General features: G+C 35.0%; 1 protein-coding gene across 3 annotated transcripts in view; it reads right to left on the bottom strand.

Annotated features, from left to right (window-relative positions):
* Positions 1-19,021, bottom strand: part of LIN28B (lin-28 RNA binding posttranscriptional regulator B) — a 146,307-nt gene that overhangs the window by 105,076 nt on the left and 22,210 nt on the right. The gene's annotated exons all lie outside the window — the stretch shown is intronic.

Genomic DNA, 19,021 nt, shown 5'->3' with positions numbered 1-19,021 from the left:
CCCTCCAATGAACTGAAGATACTTTAGACTTAGCGATAAACTATAGTAACAAATAGAATACGGAAGCCACCATCTTTTCCACTGAAAAAAAGAAGGTGGGGGGCAGTAGCCCAAAACTATCTTGGATTTCTACAGTTTACCGTATATAACTCAATGCATAATGAATATGTAAGAGTGGTATTAGAAGGGGATGGAATATAGGTTAAACACTTGGTTTTCTTAAACAAGAAGAGTTAATACATATTCTCTTGGACACTGAATACAGTTTATGTTCTAGAAGCCCTATGTTTTTACCCAATGGAAGACAGGAAAAAAATTCCTAATGTATTATGCTTTTTTTCATTGTTCAAGAAATGTTCTGCAGTAGGAATTATAAGAAAGGCATACACCTGGTCGGGTGCGGTGGCTCACGCCTGTAATCCTAGCATTTTGGGAGGCCAAGGCGGGGGTATCATGAGGTCAGGAGTTCAAGACCAGCCTGGCTAATATAGTGAAACTCCATCTCTACTAAAAATACAAAAATTAGCCAGGCATGGTGGCGCACGCCTGTACTCCCAGCCACTTGGGAGGCTGAGGCAGGAGAATCACTTGAACCTGGGAGGTGGAGGTTGCAGTGATCCAAGATCACACTATTGCACTCCAGCCTGGCTGCCAGAGTGATCGTCTGTCTCAACAACAACAACAACAAAAAGAGAAAGGCATACACCTAAGTACTGTCAGAATACCAAACTTAATAAAACAATTTCCACATAGAGTTTACAATTCAGTAGGAGAAAAAAGGAAACAAAATAATAATAGAAGACGGTCTATGATAAATGACCCATTATTTATAAAGGGTTTTGAAGTTTATAAGAAGGAAGTAAGCAATTCTGGCTAGAAAGCCCTTGGAGAAAGAAGGTTCTGACTTTGGGGCGAGGTTCTGAAGGATGACAATGATTTCCAAAAGTGAATGTAGGAAGGAATTTGGGAGAAAATACTGTTTGTGCAAAGGAAAAGTGGCAAAGAAGTGAAGGGTGTGTTTACAAAATGGCAGGTCCTATTTGACAAAGCAAACAATTTAAATAGGAAATATGAGAAGAAAGATTTTAAAAGTGGATTCACTCAGGAGGCTGAGGTGAGAGCATCACTTGAGTCTCGGAGTACAAGATTATACATAGTGAGCTATGATCATGTCACTGTACTTCAACCTGAAAGAGCAAGACCCTGCCTCAAAAAAAAAATAAAAATAAGGAGTAGATTCAATCAGATCATGAAGAGCTTAAATATCTGGCTATGATGTCTAAATTTTATTCAGAAAACAAATAGGCAATGCAACTTCTGAGAGAGTGAATACTTTAAATAAATTCACCAATAGCAATGTTCAGGGTAAGGGCTAACAAAAAGTATAAGCCTGCCTGCTACAAGCTGGTCCCAACCTTGGCTTGAGCTTCATCTTCCACCTCCTTCCCTTTTGCCCTTCACCCATCAAGTCCCCATGCTCTAACCAGACATTGGCCTTTCCAAGAGGCTCTTTAACCTCTCCACATCTTTGCTCATTTACAATATGAAATGCCTTCTCAGGCTGACAATTTCCTAGGTATTTCCAAGGCCCATCTCAAATGGACTCTTCCTTTGTAAAAGCCTTCCCTGCAACTAAAAGCATTGGCAATTGCTACCACAATGCTGTTATCTTGGCACTTTACACTCTGTGGGAACTGTTGGTCACATGCATACACATGACTATAAGCTCTTAAAGACAGAGACTGGATATTACTGATCTTTGTCATCTTAACACTTTGTAAAGCTAATGTTCAATAAAGTTCCATTGTCCTTCCTGCCACAAAGCCTCTGCCCACAACTCCTTCTTCTGTTAGAATGCTCTTTTCCTTGTTTATTTGCCTACTCGTTCTTCATTCTTCATCACAAATCTACTGCCCCAAAGAAGCCTTTCTCACCCTGAGACTAGGTCAGGCCCCTCACCATTATACATGCAAAGCACCATGTACCTTGTCTTTATCATACTAATTTTACTTTCATTTGTGTGATGAAATTGTCTGATCCCTTAACTAGTCTTTAAGCTCCACGAGGTCAGAAACCCTCTCTGCTTTTTGCTCATACCTGAATCTTTAGCACCTAGCACAAAGTAAGTAATTAATATAAAATTAAAACAGCTACATGTGGCTAGAACCCAGAGATTTAAGAGCACTACCCTGGGGTGACACTGCTGGCTCAACTGTGTGAAATTAGGCAATCAGCCATTCTATGATCATTTTCTTCATCAGGACATAGCACACTAGGCTAGGCACAGTGGCTCATGCCTGTAATCTCAGCACTTTGGGAGGCCAAGGTGGGGTAATCGGATTGCTTGAGCTTAGGAGTTTGAGACCAGCCTGGACGACGTGGTGAAACCCCAACTCTACAAAAAAAAAAAAAAAAGAAGAAGAAGAAGAAAAGAATTAGCTGAGCATGGTGGCACGCACCTGTAGTCCCAGCTATGCAAGAGGCTGAGGTGGGAGGTTCACCTGAGCCTGGGGAGGATGAGGCTGCAGTGAGCCATGATCACACCACACCACTGCACTCCAGCCTGGGAGACAGAACAAGGTCTTGCGTCCAAAAAAAAAGAAAAAAAAAGCACAGTACTTGGCACATGCAAGCACTCTGTAAAAGTTACACTATCATCACTGTGTTGTCACTATATCAAAATTTTCATAATTACTACAATACTGTCTATAGTTGAACAGTTCTCTCAGGTGGCAGAACAGAAGGCTTGGTAGAGAGAAGTTAAACCAGTGGCTTTGGATAATCAGTTAAGAAAAAATGGTGGCAAACTGGGGTCTATGCCTAGGGATTGGTAGTAGTGGGGATTTAGTGTTAGCAAGCATTTAAAACAAAATATAAATGTTAATGTATAAAACTATAAAATAACTACAAATGTTAATCTGCAGAGGAATTAACAGAGAGGAACAAATGATTATAATCTAACTGTATTTTTAGATATTATTAAATATTAGATATTCTATTATAGAATAATCAAAGATAAGATATTACTCTATCTTTCGACAGAATGATCAATTTTTATATTACCTTAAATCTACTTAGCTATTATGTTTGTATTTATCCTTTAAACAAATAATATTCAAAAATTTCAAAATATCCAGGGCTGGGCGCGGTGGCTCACGCCTGTAATCTCAGCACTTTGGGAGGCCGAAGTGGGCGGATCACCTGACGTCAGGAGTTCAAGACCAGCCTGGCCAACATGGTGAAACCCCATGTCTACTAAAAATACAAAAATTATCCAGGTGTGGTGGCAGGTGCCTGTAATCCCAGCTACTTGGGAGGCTGAGGCAGGAGAACAACTTGAACCTGGGAGGCAGAGGTTGCAATGAACAGAGATCGTGCCACTGCACTCCAGCCTGGGCAACAGAGTGAGACTCCATCTCAAAAAATAATAATAATAATAATAATAATTCAAAATATCCTTGATTCTTTCCATAAAACGTAAGTTTTATGCAATATTTATTTTTTTTATCTTTCATATATAGATTGTGAGCTGTGAGATTCATAACCATACTGTGTAAGTTTTTCAAACTAGTCAACAAGTATAAGAGACTTAAATTCATGTGGAGCTAAGTAAAGAGATTACTCTTTAAGATGAAGAAAAGCCAAAAGAAATACCTATACCGCAATGGAAGAAACTTGGGCCCTTCAGGGAGTTTACACTACGGTTTATAGAGTTTATTCCACTGAATCTGAATTTTCTTTTTTTCTTTTTCTTTTTTTTTTTTTTTTGAGATGGAGTCTTGCTGTGTCGCCCAAGCTGGAGTGCAGTGGCATGATATTGGCTCACTGCAACCTCCGCCTCCCAGGTTCAAGCGATTCTTCTGCCTCAGCCTCCCAAGTAGCAGGGACTACAGGCACATGCCACCACACCCAGCTAATTTTTGTATTTTTAGCAGAGACGGGGTTTCACCATATTGGCCAGGCTTGTCTTGAACTCCTGACATGGTGATCTGCCCACCTCGACCTCCCAAAGTGCTAGGATTACGGGTGTGAGCCACTGTACCCAACCTGAATCTGCATTTTTTTACTCATCTTGGAAAACAACCAACTTCACAAACAGTCTTTCTAAGGAAGTAAACAATTAAAACATTTCTACATCTATTGATATCAATTTATTTTCATTATTAGCCTATTTTATGAGTCAGTCTGTGGTTTTAAAAGCCTTCTTCTAGGTAAAAATATGCTAGAAACACAAACACTATCTTCAGATGACAAATGATGTACAGTAAAACATTTCATATATACTTTCTTTGGAAATTCAGGTAATATCAATAAGTGTGTAAAAATGTTAAAACTACTTAACCATCCAATGCTCTTGTTAAGAACTCTTTCTTCTTCAATGTTGGAAAAATCATTAGCCTTTAGAAAAGGTATAAAAGAATTAACCAAACCTAAGTAAAGACAGAAATGTGGTAAAGAACTGGATTTGACTTTGCTAATACCTAAAGAGACAGAACAGACATTTTTTCATGACAGCAATAGCCAGCTGTATCAAAAATAAATTCTAAAGTAATTAGAATAAATTCTAAAACTCTATTATCTGTTATTAACTTCTTCTCAACTACACTCTTCGTCAAGGAACGACACTTCTGCTAAAGACAGACACTTTCTGCTGAGTGATTGCTTTTTCCTGGTATCTCTAAAGCCAGGGCCTCAGGCTTCCTTCCCAAAGGGGAGTGGGGGGAGGAGGAAAAAAGAGAGGAGAAGGAGACTAAAGAAAGAGACGACTTAAGGCTGTAATAATTCCTGGTGGCAGATCAAATTATAATGATAGGGCAGGGAATAATTTGGGGACAGCATAAAGCACCAATAATTTGGGTAATTTCATTATTCAATTTACACTGAAAATTGAACAATATAAATCAAAATAATGAATTCTATTCTATTAAATTCTCACTCTGAAAACATTATCCCATGTTTTAAGAGATTTTGGAATATATATTCAACATTAAATATCAAAGGAAATTCTGAATTACTATTAGGAATATTAATGGCTTAACAGTGACCAGACATTTTTAAAACTAAAGACAGAGAGGATGGAAAAGTGGTCACCATCTAACAAGACAATTTCCCAAACATCATTTGTTAAGACTTTTTTTTTTTTTTTGAGACAGAGTGTCACTCTATCCCCCAGGCTGGAGTGCAGTGGCACAATCTCGGCTCGCTGCAACCTCTGACTCCCAGGTTCAAGCGATTCTCACACCTCAGCCTCACGAACAGCTGGGATTACAGGCGCCTGCCACCACACCTGGCTAATTTTTATATTTTTAGTAGAGACAGCGTTTTGCCATGTTGGCCAGGCAGGTCTCGAACTCCTGACCTCAGGTGATCCGCCCACCTCAGCCTCCTAAAGTGCTGGGATTACAGGCATGAGCCACCATACCCGGCCTCATTTGTTAAGATTTTTAAATATCATATCCTTTTAAATATAATATCCAAAAAAATAAATACTGAACTCTAAAAAATATGTACTGAAACAGATATCTGCATCTATCTGGCTGTTCACATATTTCAACTATTTGAAAATTTATTTATTTAGTATTAATTTTATTTTAGGAGAAAGAAAATCTAGAAATCAAATAATTCATTAAACTTATACTTACAATAACCCACACAAAAACAAGTAGCAACACATCTAATGGTGTTACCCACCCCAGCAAACTAACCTTGTATTTTTGACAAAACATGAAGATGCTTAAAACCTGAATACATTCATTTTAAAAACTACTTTTCTCCACAGAAGTTAAAGAAAAATTCTGAAGGAAGAAAACAGGTATAAAGGGGAAAACCCTCAACTTTTCCCCTTTCACTTCCAAATGTTGTTATTAATTAATACCAAATTTTGTTATGTATTTTTTTTTAAAGCCTGGGTCACACAAAAAAACCAAGGTAGCACTTCCTTAAAAACAGGCTTTTGTTTATCTTTTTATTTTAAAACTCACAGTAGGCCAGGCAAGGTGGCTCACACCTGTAATCCCAGCACTTTGGGAGGCCAAGGTGGGTGGATTACCTGAGGTCAGGCATTCAAGGCCAGCCTGGCCAACATGGTGAAATCCCGTCTCTACTAAAAAATACAAAAATCAGCCAGGTGTGGTGGCGTGCACCTGTAGTCCCAGATACTCAGGAGGCTGAGGCATGAGAATCACTTGAACCCAGGAGGTGGAGGCTGCAGTGAGCCGAGACTGCGCCACTGCACTACAGCCTGGGAGACAGAGCAAGACCCTATCTCAAATAAATAAATAAATAAATAACAGTAATACTAGGATACAAATAATTTCAACAATAAATGTTAGTACTAGATTTAAATGCTTAATAATAGTTGTTAGTGTTTTCTATATCCCTTGCTAATCAAAATGACAAATGAGGGAGGATCATGGATTTGAAAGATTTACTATCCTAAACCTTTCCAAAAAGCAAAATTTAAGTGACAACTTAAGCATTAATTAAAATATCAATAAAAATTTAAATTTAACTAAGTAAACAGAAGTTGAAACATTCAATTGTAGAGGACATAAAAAAATAAATCAATTGCTGTAAATTTTAATGTCAATGAAAGCATGGGCCAATACATTAATTAGACTTCATACCTGATCCTAGTTCTTGAAAGGTTGATAACCCACTGTTATCAACAGAAACTTAAGTAGCCTTTCTATGTAGCTCAACAAATCTTGTATTTAACTTTTAAAGGTAAAATAAACTTACCACAAAACACTACTAAAAATGAAAAGATGACTTTGTTTCTCTCATTATTCATCCTAAAAGCAGACCAAAAGATTGTATTTATAAATCTAGTTAACTTAAAAGTTATCTTGGACTGATAGGAAGATCATATGACCAAATATCATTGTCTTTTAAGATCTATAAGACTGAAAATTTAAGGAAGAATTTTTTATGTAAACAATAAATACTCATTGAAATAAAATATTTTAAACAAAAATGCCTATTAGATTTTAAAATGTAATTACTTATGTCAAGGGTGGTCTATACAGTATTCTTAAAAGTCTTTTAAAAGTACTTATTTGCACGAAAATATGTGCCAATAAATGACATATTTTAAAAATCAATGGCAGAGAAGGTACTATTTTTGAAACTATTGTTTCAAATATTTTAGTTATTATTTGGACACAGTTATACTGTTCACTAAAATAGAATTTAAACATTTGAATACAAGTAGCTTAAGAACAAATTAAAATAACTTTAAAGATCAAATATTTAATGGTTCACAATAAACTAGAGCATCATGACTAAGTCACCAAATTAGGAATAAGCATCAAACACTTATCCTCATTTAACTTTATTAAAAAAAGTATATAAATATCACAGGAGGTGGATAGGATTTTCTTCCAAACAGCTAGCTACCCTATGCTAACTGTTAAGAGGTGGGTCAGAAGAGCAAGAAGAAATACATCTAATTAATTCCCTCTTGTATTTTACATGTAGTCCTATAACGTATTTCTTTCTTTTATTCTGCCAGCAATTATTTCTTGCTAATGTCTCCCAACCACCACCCCTACTTTCTCTACACTATGAGTTCTGAGAAACAAGTTACAGTTTAGAAACCTCAAATGATGCTAAAAGATAACTGATAGAAAAATAAGTAACTAAGAAACTACCACGGTAGATTAAAAGGTCCGTATTATTTTAAAAATCTATTTAGTAGTAATTTTTTTCAGCTTCCTAAAAAACAACAGCATGGATGTAATGTAAGGTAAAGCATATGAAATTAAACAAGACACATATCGATAAATATTTTCTCAAAGTTTTATGCTTCATTCTGAGATTCACTGCAATCCCATCTGTGACTAACTAAAAGGGAAGTCACATGACTTAAGCAATAAAAGAGAAAGTTTTCTTTCCTTTCCTTTCTACAGGAAGAAACAAAAGCTTGGTATTAGCTATCCAAAGCTAATGGGTGGGGCCTGAAAGCCAAAAAACTATACTGAATTAAGATTAATCTTAATAGGGGCCCATTTTAGCCTTCTGAAAACATCAAAAATGCGAAGACTGCAGCCAGAACTTAAATAAATTAACAAGCATTTAGTGTAAATTAGGTTTTACAACTAGAAAATTCTTCAGGGACAAAATTCAGTATATAAACAATATTGAAGCTTTTACTGAGGTAAAATCACCTAACTGTGATTCCTTATACAGATACACACACCATCCCCCACTGGCACACAGATACTTCACAAGCCTCTTGAATAAATAGGAGTATCCAATGTCCAGTGTGATGGGTGGTCCTGAGGTCCTGAACCAGAGCTGTATACTTTTAAAGGATGCTAAGATAAGAACAAAGTGTTTTGTGTTTGTTTAAACCTGGGTCTAGATGTAGTCTTTGCACCATTATTGGAACAGCTCATAAACTTGTGCTGTTATTAATTCAGGGAAGCTTTAAATGTCTGCATAAATGCTAGAAATTAAGCACATCAAAATAAAATACTTTAGGGCTTTTTATAGCTCTCATTCAAATTAATTCAATTTACTTAAAAGTAATCATTACATTTCAAAAGTGGTAAATCTCAACCTAAGAGAAAAACATCATATGACCACACTTTCACTACCAACAGGATACCATACCATATAAAATAACATGTATTTAAAGTATATACATCAAATAAGCTGCAATGCAATGAAAAACTTCTAAAGATAACAAAATTAACCCATGGAGAGTCCCAATAAAGAATCAACTATTGTGCCCATTTTTATACTGCAGGCTTTATACATGTCCAATATAAAGAGTTGTTTGTGGGGCTTTTTTTTGTTGTTGTTGTTGTTTTGTTTTGTTTCCCAGAGCAGAAAGCAGGCTTTACAAGTGGCCCAAGGAAAAGATAAGCAATGAATAGTTCTGACCCTGGCTTCTGTGGCTTGATCAAGTGGGCCTGCAACCTGAGCCAAAGGGCACAAATTCCTCACCATTCAAAATTCTTCAATGGCATGGGGGAGGAAACAGTGAAAGGGGCAAACATGCAAATCCAAGTGTCCTTAGACTGAGTATTCAACGAAAATTTTTAATTAGAGAGCTAAAAAATGAGGCCAATAATGTGACTAAATTTCTAACGCACAGTTTAATCAACCCCTGAAAGGAGCTTTTTTTCTTGTGAAAATTGAAAAAGATGCACTTAAAAAAAAATGTATGGCTTACACTGAGCTGTGTTACGTATATGTCTCTAATATCATTTAATCTATTTAAAGGAGCTGCTGAAAAGTGTTACTAACTTGGAAGGATCAGTGCTTATATATCATAAGCAAAATCATGTATTATTTAAATCACACAGGAAGAAAAGTTGATATAATTCATTCCAAGCTTTACAATATGTTAATGATCTATTAAATATTTAAAGCAATAGCTATAACCTATGTTGCCAGACTTTTGTTACAGACTGAACTAAGGATAAAGACAATTCATTTGAATGGAAGAAAAAAAAATAAGCTAAGTTAAAATAATTTAAGCATTATAGGATCTGGGAACATTCTATTCACTATCTCTAATGGCCTAGGAAATTGCTTACAAAAGCTTAAGGAAGAAAATGATCACCAACAAATCTTGGCCAAAGTAAAAGTAATTTGAAATTTATATGGAGTCTTTATATCCTATAACACCATAAAACGAAATAGCAATCTTAAGAGTTATTACCAAATTAAACTTACAAGATTTAAAAAGTCTAATTTTAAGATTAACAAAAGTAATAAATTTAAGTGGGTTTTGATTTTTTAAAGTGGGCTGTTATGACAAAGATTTAAAGCAGCTGGTAGAAATTAAGTATATTACTAATAGCACAATAAATTAATGATTCTAAGCACTGGCAAAAACAGTTTCTCCACATGAAATGTGAAAAACATATTTTAATACTACTGAGAAATCATTGCATTTAGCTCAAAATTTTAAAACTAATATTTGCTTTTTATCTTAGCTATCCCAAAATTAAATTGGTAGAGACTGTATAATTAGACTTCGTAAAAGGAAGTGAATACAACACAGGAAAAATGATCCTTTGCTTTTATGCCTTATATGCAAACAATGAGAATTAACTGGAAAAAACTTATTTTAAATTTTGCTAAAATGAAAATACCAAACCAACAGTGTTTCACTGAGTACATGATCAATAAAAATTAGTTGGCTTTACTGAACCACGATTTTTATAATCATTTTTTAAAAGTTAATACTTTTCTATGACATTAAGCCATCTTGTTGATTTACATTTCCAAAAATGTTTATACAAGCTGAGCAAAGTGGCTCACATCTGTAATCCCAGCACTTAAGGAGGCAGAGGCAGGAGGATTACCTGAAGCCAGGAGTTCTAAACCAGCCTGGTCAACAAGGCAAGATTCTGTCTCTACAAAAAATTTTAAAAATTAGCCAGGCGCAGTGGCATGTGCCAGGCATGGTGGTGCACGCCTGTAGTCCCAGCTACTCAGAAGGCTCAGGTTGGATAATTGCTTGAGCCAGGAGTTCGAAGTTGCAGTGAGCTATAATCCCACCACTGCACGCCAGCCTGGGTGACTGAGGAAGACCCTGTTTCTAAATAATAATAATAATAATAATTAATTAAATAAAAATTTTAAAAATGTTTATACAAAAACTGAGTTGGGACAGAAATTCAATAAATTTCTTTCTTTCTTTTTTTTTTTTTTTTTTTTTTTGAGAGGGAGTTTCACTCTTGTCGCCTGGAGTGCAATGGCATGATCTCGGTTCTCTGCAACCTCCACCTCCCGGGTTCAAGTGATTCTCCTGCCTCAGCCTTCCAAATAGGTGGGATTACAAGCATGTGCCACCAGGCCTGTCTAATTTTTTGTATTTTTAGGAGAGACAGGGTTTTACCATGTTGGCCAGGCTGGTCTCAAATTCCTGACCTCAAGTGATCCACCCCCCTCAGCCTCCCAAAGTGCTGGGATTACAGGCATGAGCCACCATGCCCAGCCAATTCAATAAATTTCTGACAAGACATATGAACATCAATAAGCCTAATTATGCCCTTTAAGTAAGTGGTGAGTTTACAGCACATGAGAAAATACCATAATGATAAATGAAATTAATATTATATTGAAGATTAGTAAAATGCATATGAATTAATCTCATTAACAAGCACAGACACTACTAGGATAAAGGTTAATTTCCAGGTAGAAAAAAAAACTAAAGAAAACCAGAGTGAGGCCAGGCATGGTGATTCACGCCTGTAAATCTCTGTAACTTTGGCAGGCTGAGGTGGGAGGATCCCTTGAGCCCAGGAGTTCAAGACCAGCCTGGGCAACATGGGGAGACCCCGTCTCTACAAATATAATAAAAAATATCAGCCAGAGGTTGGGCGCGGTGGCTCACGCCTGTAATCCCAGCACTTTGGGAGGCCGAAGTGGGCGGATCACAACGTCAGGAGATTGAGACCATCCTGGCTAACTCGGTGAAACCCCATCTCTACTAAAAATACAAAAAATTAGCCGGGCGTGGTGGCGAGTGCCTGTAGTCACAGCTACTCTGGAGGCTGAGGCAGGAGAATGGCGTGAACCTGGGAGGCGGAGCTTGCAGTGAGCCGATACAGCACCACTGCACTCCAGCCTGGGCAATGTAGCGAGACTCTGTCTCAAAAAAAAAAAAAAAAAAAATCAGCCGGGCATGGTGATGCACACCTAGAATCCCAGCATCTCAGAAGGCTCAGGTGGGATAATTGCTTGAGTCAGGAGTTTGAGGTTGCAGTGAGCCATGATCCCACCACTGCACTCCAGCCTGAGCAAGAGCAATACTCTGTCTCAAAACAAAAACCAGAAAAACTCTTATAATTAAAATGATTAATAAAAACATAGCTCTTGAAAAAAAGATAAAAACTAAAACCTGAGATTGTTACAGTTTTTAAATTATTTTCATGTGTATTATTTCAATTGACCCTTACCATAACCCTCTAAAATAAAGATGAAAAATATTATTTATCACATTTTACCCATAAGAACACTGAAGCTCCCTGGAAGTGACCAGCCAAAAGTTATAAACCAACCAACTGGCAGAGCCGAAGCCAAACACTCATTCCCATGGTTTTTTTTCTCACAATACCACACTACTTCTCCTTTATAATACTAATTATGTACAACACACATTGAGTCCCTACTATCTGCCAAGTTTGTGTTAGGTGCTTTACATATGTAATAACATGTAATCCTCCTAACAGCCCTATACAAAGTGGGTACTATTTTTGTCCTCCGATTTATAGGCCATTGAGACACTGACAAGGTAACTTACTTCCCTTACAGGTATCTAATAAACTGGGATTTGAATACTGATTTGACCAGAATCTTTATCATTCTATACTATCTTACAAAGATTAAATAATTATTAACCAAAAAATGGTATTAAATTATCACAACAGGCCTATTTAAAACAGTATTTTTTCTTTAGCTTATAATGAATACACATGCATATGTACACAGGTAAAATCTTACACAGGTAAAATCTTATGTTACAACAATTATTAAAACCAAAATATCTGCATAACAAAAATATTTCCAAGCTGCAGTTTACACCCTGATACTTTAAACAATATTCTAGGCCTGGCACTGTTGCTCATGCCTGTAATCCCAGGACTTTGGGAGGCCAAGGCAGGAGGATCACTTGAGCCCAGGAAGTCAAGGCTTCAGTAAGCTATGATCCTGCCACTGCACTCTAGCCTAGGCAACAGAGTGAGACCAGATCTCAAAAAAAATAATAATTTTAGAGACCATCTTGCTCTGTCGTCCAGACTGGAGTGCAATGGAGTGATCTCAGCTCATTGTGGCCTCTGTCTCCTGGGCTCAAGAAGTGATCCTTTTACCTCAGGCTCCCTGATATTTGGGACCACAGGTGCATGCCATCAGGCCTAGCTAATTTTTTTGGTAGGGACGGAGTTTTGCCATGTTACCCAGGCTGGTCTAAAACTCCTGGGCTCAATCTGCCAGCCTCAGCCTCCCAAAGTGCTGGGATTACAGGCATGAGCCACCATGCTCAGCCAAAAGAATTATTTTAAATAACAAAAACAATATTCAATGCCACAAAACTATAATGAAAAGCCTTAACATCAACTGTAATGGAAATTAAACTATTAATATACAACACATTTTGGCCAATTTTAAAGAAAGCACATAAAAGACCAGCTTAATTATCCACCATGAGTATACACCACTGAAAATAACTTATCCATTATTCTTTTGGCAAAGACCAGTTTACATTAGTTTATTTTCTCAACAGACACTTACTAGGCAGTTATATAACATTACCTCTACTCTTCAAAACAACTTTAAAAGTTAGGTATTACTCCAGGTAACAGAAAATTATAGAAAAAATTATAACACTAAATCTATCAATTATTTGTAAATCTTATTTAGAAAATATTTCCAAATTGTCAAATATTTAGATATTGGAAAAGAAGAAGCAATAATCAGACTGTCCTCCAATTTGAGATAAATGATTAGATGTATCCTGATGTATCAAAATGCAACATGGTACTTTCATTACTTGTTTGATAAACTACTCATTAAAAGATCATTTTTAAATGTACCCCACTGACCTGCAATGTACTTTCTTAAACACATTACTGTTATCAACTTTTATGATATTAGAAGATGCTATAATCAATTATTTTAGGGAGGAATATAAATCAGTTGAATTTCTTATGCATTGTATATGGTACAATGCCATCTATTGTAACTATGTATTAAATAAGCTGAACTTCCTGTTACTCAAAACTCAGGGGAAATAGCTCAAAGTATAAAGAACTGATAGTCTTTGATAATGATAAAATATCCCATATTTCATTCCAAATCAAGTCTATAGAATATAACATTTAAGATAACTTTCCAGTTTAATTGATCAGAAGTATCTTCACTTTGTTTAGGTTATTCTCAGTTTAGAAGTAAGAATATAGTACATCAAGCTGGACACAGTGGTGCATGCCTGTAGTCACAGCTATTAGGGAGGCTGAGGAGGGAGTATCTCTTGAGACTAGCTAGGAGTTCCAGGTCAGCCTGGGTAACTTAGTCTCAAAAAAACAAAAACAACACAGTGCATCTTATTTTTAAGTAGCAACTTTTAAGTTAATCACAAACCAAAAGAGCTGCTCGGTTAAAATAGACATAACTATCTGTAATATTTCTAACTATCTCTGAATAGGAAGAATTAAACCAAATCCAAATAATGTTTTGTTGCTGCCTGAAAGCGACAAAAATTACAGTGAAGGACTCAATTTTTAATCTACCAAGGTGAACGCAGATAACAAATAAGCTTTTAATTTCTCATGAAACCTAAGAACTCTAAGATAAGTTAAAGACATGCTTTAAAAGGTTACACTGAATACTTGTAAGTGGTTTGACACTCATATTTTTATTTAAAAAATTATTCTTTGATTTACTGCATTCATTTGTTGTGAATAGTCTTTTAAAATAAAAGAGGAATTGAAAATTAGCGAGAACATGCAACACCAAAGGCTAACACTAATATAAACTATGGACTCTGTGTGATTATGATGTGTCAATGTACATTCATTAATTGAAACAAATGTGCCACTCTTGGTAGGGGATGTTGATAATGGAGGATGCTATGCATTTGAAGGGGCAAGGGTACATGGAAAAATCTATGTATTTTCCTCTTAATTTTGCTGTGAACCTAAAACTGCTCTTTAAAAAGGCAGGAGAAAAATATTTAAGAAGTACACCAATAATCTTTAAAACAGGAGAAAGGCCTACATCTTCAATATGTACCCAATTCACATTTCACATTTAAATTGAATCAGAATGTCTTTGTAGGACTTAAATACATGAAAAAGAGTCTGAGAAATGCACCACCACTTGAAAATCAAAAGTATCTTTAGGGCTACATTAAGAAATCTTATAAAATTTTGTTTTATAATAAATGCCTGGCCAGGAGCGGTGGCTCACGCCTGTAATCCCAGCACTTTGGGAGGCCGAGGTGGGTGGATCATGAGGTCAGGAGATCGAGAGCATCCTGGCTAACACAGTGAAACCCCGTCTCTACTAAAAATACAAAAAATTAGCCGGGCGTGGTGGCGGGCGCCTGTAGTCCCAGCTACTCAGGAGGCTGAAGCAGGAGAATGGCGTGAACCCGGAAGGCGGAGTTGCAGTGAGCAGAGATCGCGCCACTGCACTCCAACCTGGGCGACAGAGCCAGATACTGTCTCAAGAAAAAAATTAAAAATAAAATGCCTTTAAATGTGATGTTATGATTAAACGGCCTTAAAGCACTCAGCTTGAGATTCTCTGAAAATGGTCAACTGGGCAATTCATCTTAAAAATCTGGTAGGTTATAAACCATTTTAAAAATATTAAAATACGTAACTCACTATACAAATGAGCTGCTTATGTTCACATTTTCAAGTTTCCAAGATGTCTAATTTTTTTTAATTGGCATTTTAAGCAGCCCAGAGAATAACAATAATCACACATATTCTTCATGTGAAAAATGATTTTATGCTTAACTATAACAAAACTAAACATGGTTAATTAATTAGCAATGAAATATTACGAAAAGCCCTTAAAAATGAATATACTGAAATAAATTTGTTTTCCTACATTGTATAATTAATTAAATACATAAGAACTCTATATTAGATCAATTGATTGAACTATGTGTAAGAAATTTTTCATATATTTAAGCACTAGTCATCTCTAAATGTTTTCATATCTCATACTGTTAATGCTTTAACTCAGTAACAATAATGATTTTATTTTTTCTATTTCCATTACTCCTTGAGATATTTTTGAAGCAAAGGAACATAAAATATATAAAGCCTTTCTAATGTGGGCATTTGAATTATCCATAAAGATCAAAATCTAATTCAAAAATAAAGACCATAAGAAGAAAACACCAATACTTGTAAGGTAAATGAAGATGAATAAAGGTAAATTATTAATAAATATTTAGGCCTACTGAGTAATGGTAGCTAAATTGCAGTCATTTTGAAATTACTCTTTCTCTTTGAGAAAAAAAGAGATACATACATTATGCATACATTATGAAATAAATGAAATACATTTATGTAAACAATTGTATCATATTTGATGGCAAGGAATGCCAAGTATATATACACCCAATATGTGAAGTATTATTAAGCACATAAGCTGAGGAGAGAGTAATAAGGAGAATGTATTCTACACCTTCCCAGAACAAAATCAAATTCAAATGATCATTTCATCTTATTAGGTAAGATAATGACTTTGGAAATAAATATCAAAATCTATAGAAAAACCTATATAACAAACATCAACAGGTAGTTATTAGGTTAACGTTGCCCTTCTCCAAAAGAGATCTAATATTTAATTACCATTCTATTCCTCTAAAGTACCATCAAATATTTAAGTCTTATTAAAAACTTTTAACATTTCAAAAAACTGCCAGTAACATTTTCCAGGTAATGTAAATGTTATCCTACAATCTAACTGTGATTTTAAAAAACATAAGAAACTGGTAAGAGTATTAATTACTTGCACTTACAAAATAATCATATTCTGATTTATGAAATCACCTTAGTAAAAATTTAGACTTAAAGCCGGGCGCGGTGGCTCACGCCTGTAATCCCAGCACTTTGGGAGGGGGAGGCAGGCAGATCACAAGGTCAGGAGCTCGTGACTAGCCTGGCCAACATAGTGAAACCCCATCTCTACTAAAAATACAAAAAATTAGCTAGGCGTGGTGGCGGGCACCTGTAATCCCAGCTACTCAGGAGGCTGAGGCAGAAGAATCGCTTGAACTCGTGAGGTGGAGGTTGCAGTGAGCCGAGATCTCACCACTGCACTCCAGCCCGGGTGACAGTGTGAGACTCCACCTCAAAAAAAAAATAAAAGAATTTAGACGTAACAAATTTGTATTAACCACGTATATCCTTACTTCATTTGAAACAAATCTGTGTTTGTATTACTCGAGAAATTCTTAAATATATTTAAAAATAAAATCATCAAAATTGTCCTATTTTATTAAACATTTTTTAAAAACTTCAACAGTGAGATATGACAAAATTCACAAATATAATACTTACATATTTTGTTAATTTTTTAAAAATAAAATATTCATTATTGAACTATATCAATGTTTCACAATTAACATGGGTCAGAATATATATTTTCACATCATAAAAATATGATTATTTAAATTACAAATTAACATTAGAAAATCAAATGAAGACTGTCATTTTAAACCATCAATGGTTACATACCATCCTCAAATAGCAGAATCTCACAGCATTTATCAACATGTCTAAAGAGAGACTAAAGAGAGACAAAGTACAGCACCTAGGCATGTGTTTCTTTTTGAGGATTTGGTGACATCACAGGAACTACAAGAAAGTTTGATGGTATTACTGCCAATAAATTTTAAGTAGAGTTATGTAACTATAAATATACATAACTACAAATACACAGCTCAATTTTAAAACACACACATATATATATTCTCTTTATTTTGAAGCAACTGAATATGTTTTGATATGCTGTTACATGCAATCAATATTTTTAAGAGAAAAAGTATCCTAGGTTCCTCAGCATAAATTTTTATGTATTTATTAAGGACACAAATAATTTGTTTTTTATTTCTCCAAATATACATTATTAAAAATGTTTCAGAATACTTCAAAAAAAAAATCCAGTGACACATGTACTTCCAAACACTTCAAAAAAAACTATGTCATATATTTTAAAAATTTTGAGTAGACATAGGTCCAGTTGAACATTTAAAATTCCTAATCACCTATGATACATATCCTTTCACAACAAAATAGTACATAGACATAAAACCTGGTATGTTTTCAAAAATGCTTATAAAACTAAAAAGGCCTCTAAAATAATAATAAAAATGTTTTTTAAAATTCTATGAAATCGTCTTGAATTGCAACCTTATTCCATAAGTGATGCACACATAATACCTGTATCATTTACAACCATCTGTTACTTGTAGTTGCTTAGCTAACATCAGTAGGATTCCTGCCTTCTTCAAAACAATTATTCATACAATTTATATACAATTTATGTATATTACAATATAAGAAACCTCTTTAACTAGGCATCATTTAATACTGTCCTTTTAATATATACATGAACTGTATGTATATACTACTGTATGTAACTGAATATTAAGTCAACTATTTAAAAATCAATGTTTATAGTATAGAAACAGCTATATATTTAAAAAACTTCAGCAGCTACATGTTTTAATTCAGTGAATAGAGGAATGTTTATCAATATATAATCATTAAATAGTATAAACACAAATGTCTTGTTGTTCTAAACATTAACATTGGTTAATAAAATATCTTAACATTTGATGAATATTTTAGAAGGTAAACATAGAAAATCAAATTATAAAAAGGCGTGACCAGACAAAGAAGGGTTATTTTTTTCATTCATCTATAAAACAAATTTATGAGATCATAAAAAACAATTTAACAACCTAAAGAAGGTTCAAAGGTGGAAGAAAGAGCCTGAGAGAAAATGGATTTGTCTATGATTTTTGTCATCCAGTCTTAGAGGGGAAAAAACAGAAAATGTAGCTTCATTTTGCACTATAAAATAGGAAGCATAAAATCCAGTAGTCTGTATGTGGACTTGTATTTGTGTACTTAAACCCTGTTTCAATTCACAGATTATGCTGATCCTTCCACATATAAACAGCCAATAATGATGGCCAGGCCTTCAGGAAAGGAAAACACACACCACACAGCAAGGTCAGGAAGCTACCAAGCACCACAGGACAACAGATCAAAACAGAATGGTTTCATATGTTTCTATTGTTTATATATTTAATTTGAAGATGATATTCCTTAGGGAAGGGGGTATAAATATTACTAGGAACATGCAACACAGTATCAAATATATACTTTTCAAGCAAATATACCAAATATTTCACCCATGTATCTGTCAGTCAATCTGTAGTATTAACAGCCTTTCATTCAATTCTTTTTAACTTAGATTATCATGCCAAAATAAACCTCTTTAGTCGTAAACCTCTTTATTTCTAACT

Source organism: Homo sapiens, chromosome 6, assembly GCF_000001405.40.
Source record: "Homo sapiens chromosome 6, GRCh38.p14 Primary Assembly".
Taxonomy (NCBI): Eukaryota; Metazoa; Chordata; class Mammalia; order Primates; family Hominidae; genus Homo; species Homo sapiens.
This window is presented reverse-complemented; position numbering and strand designations above follow the sequence as displayed.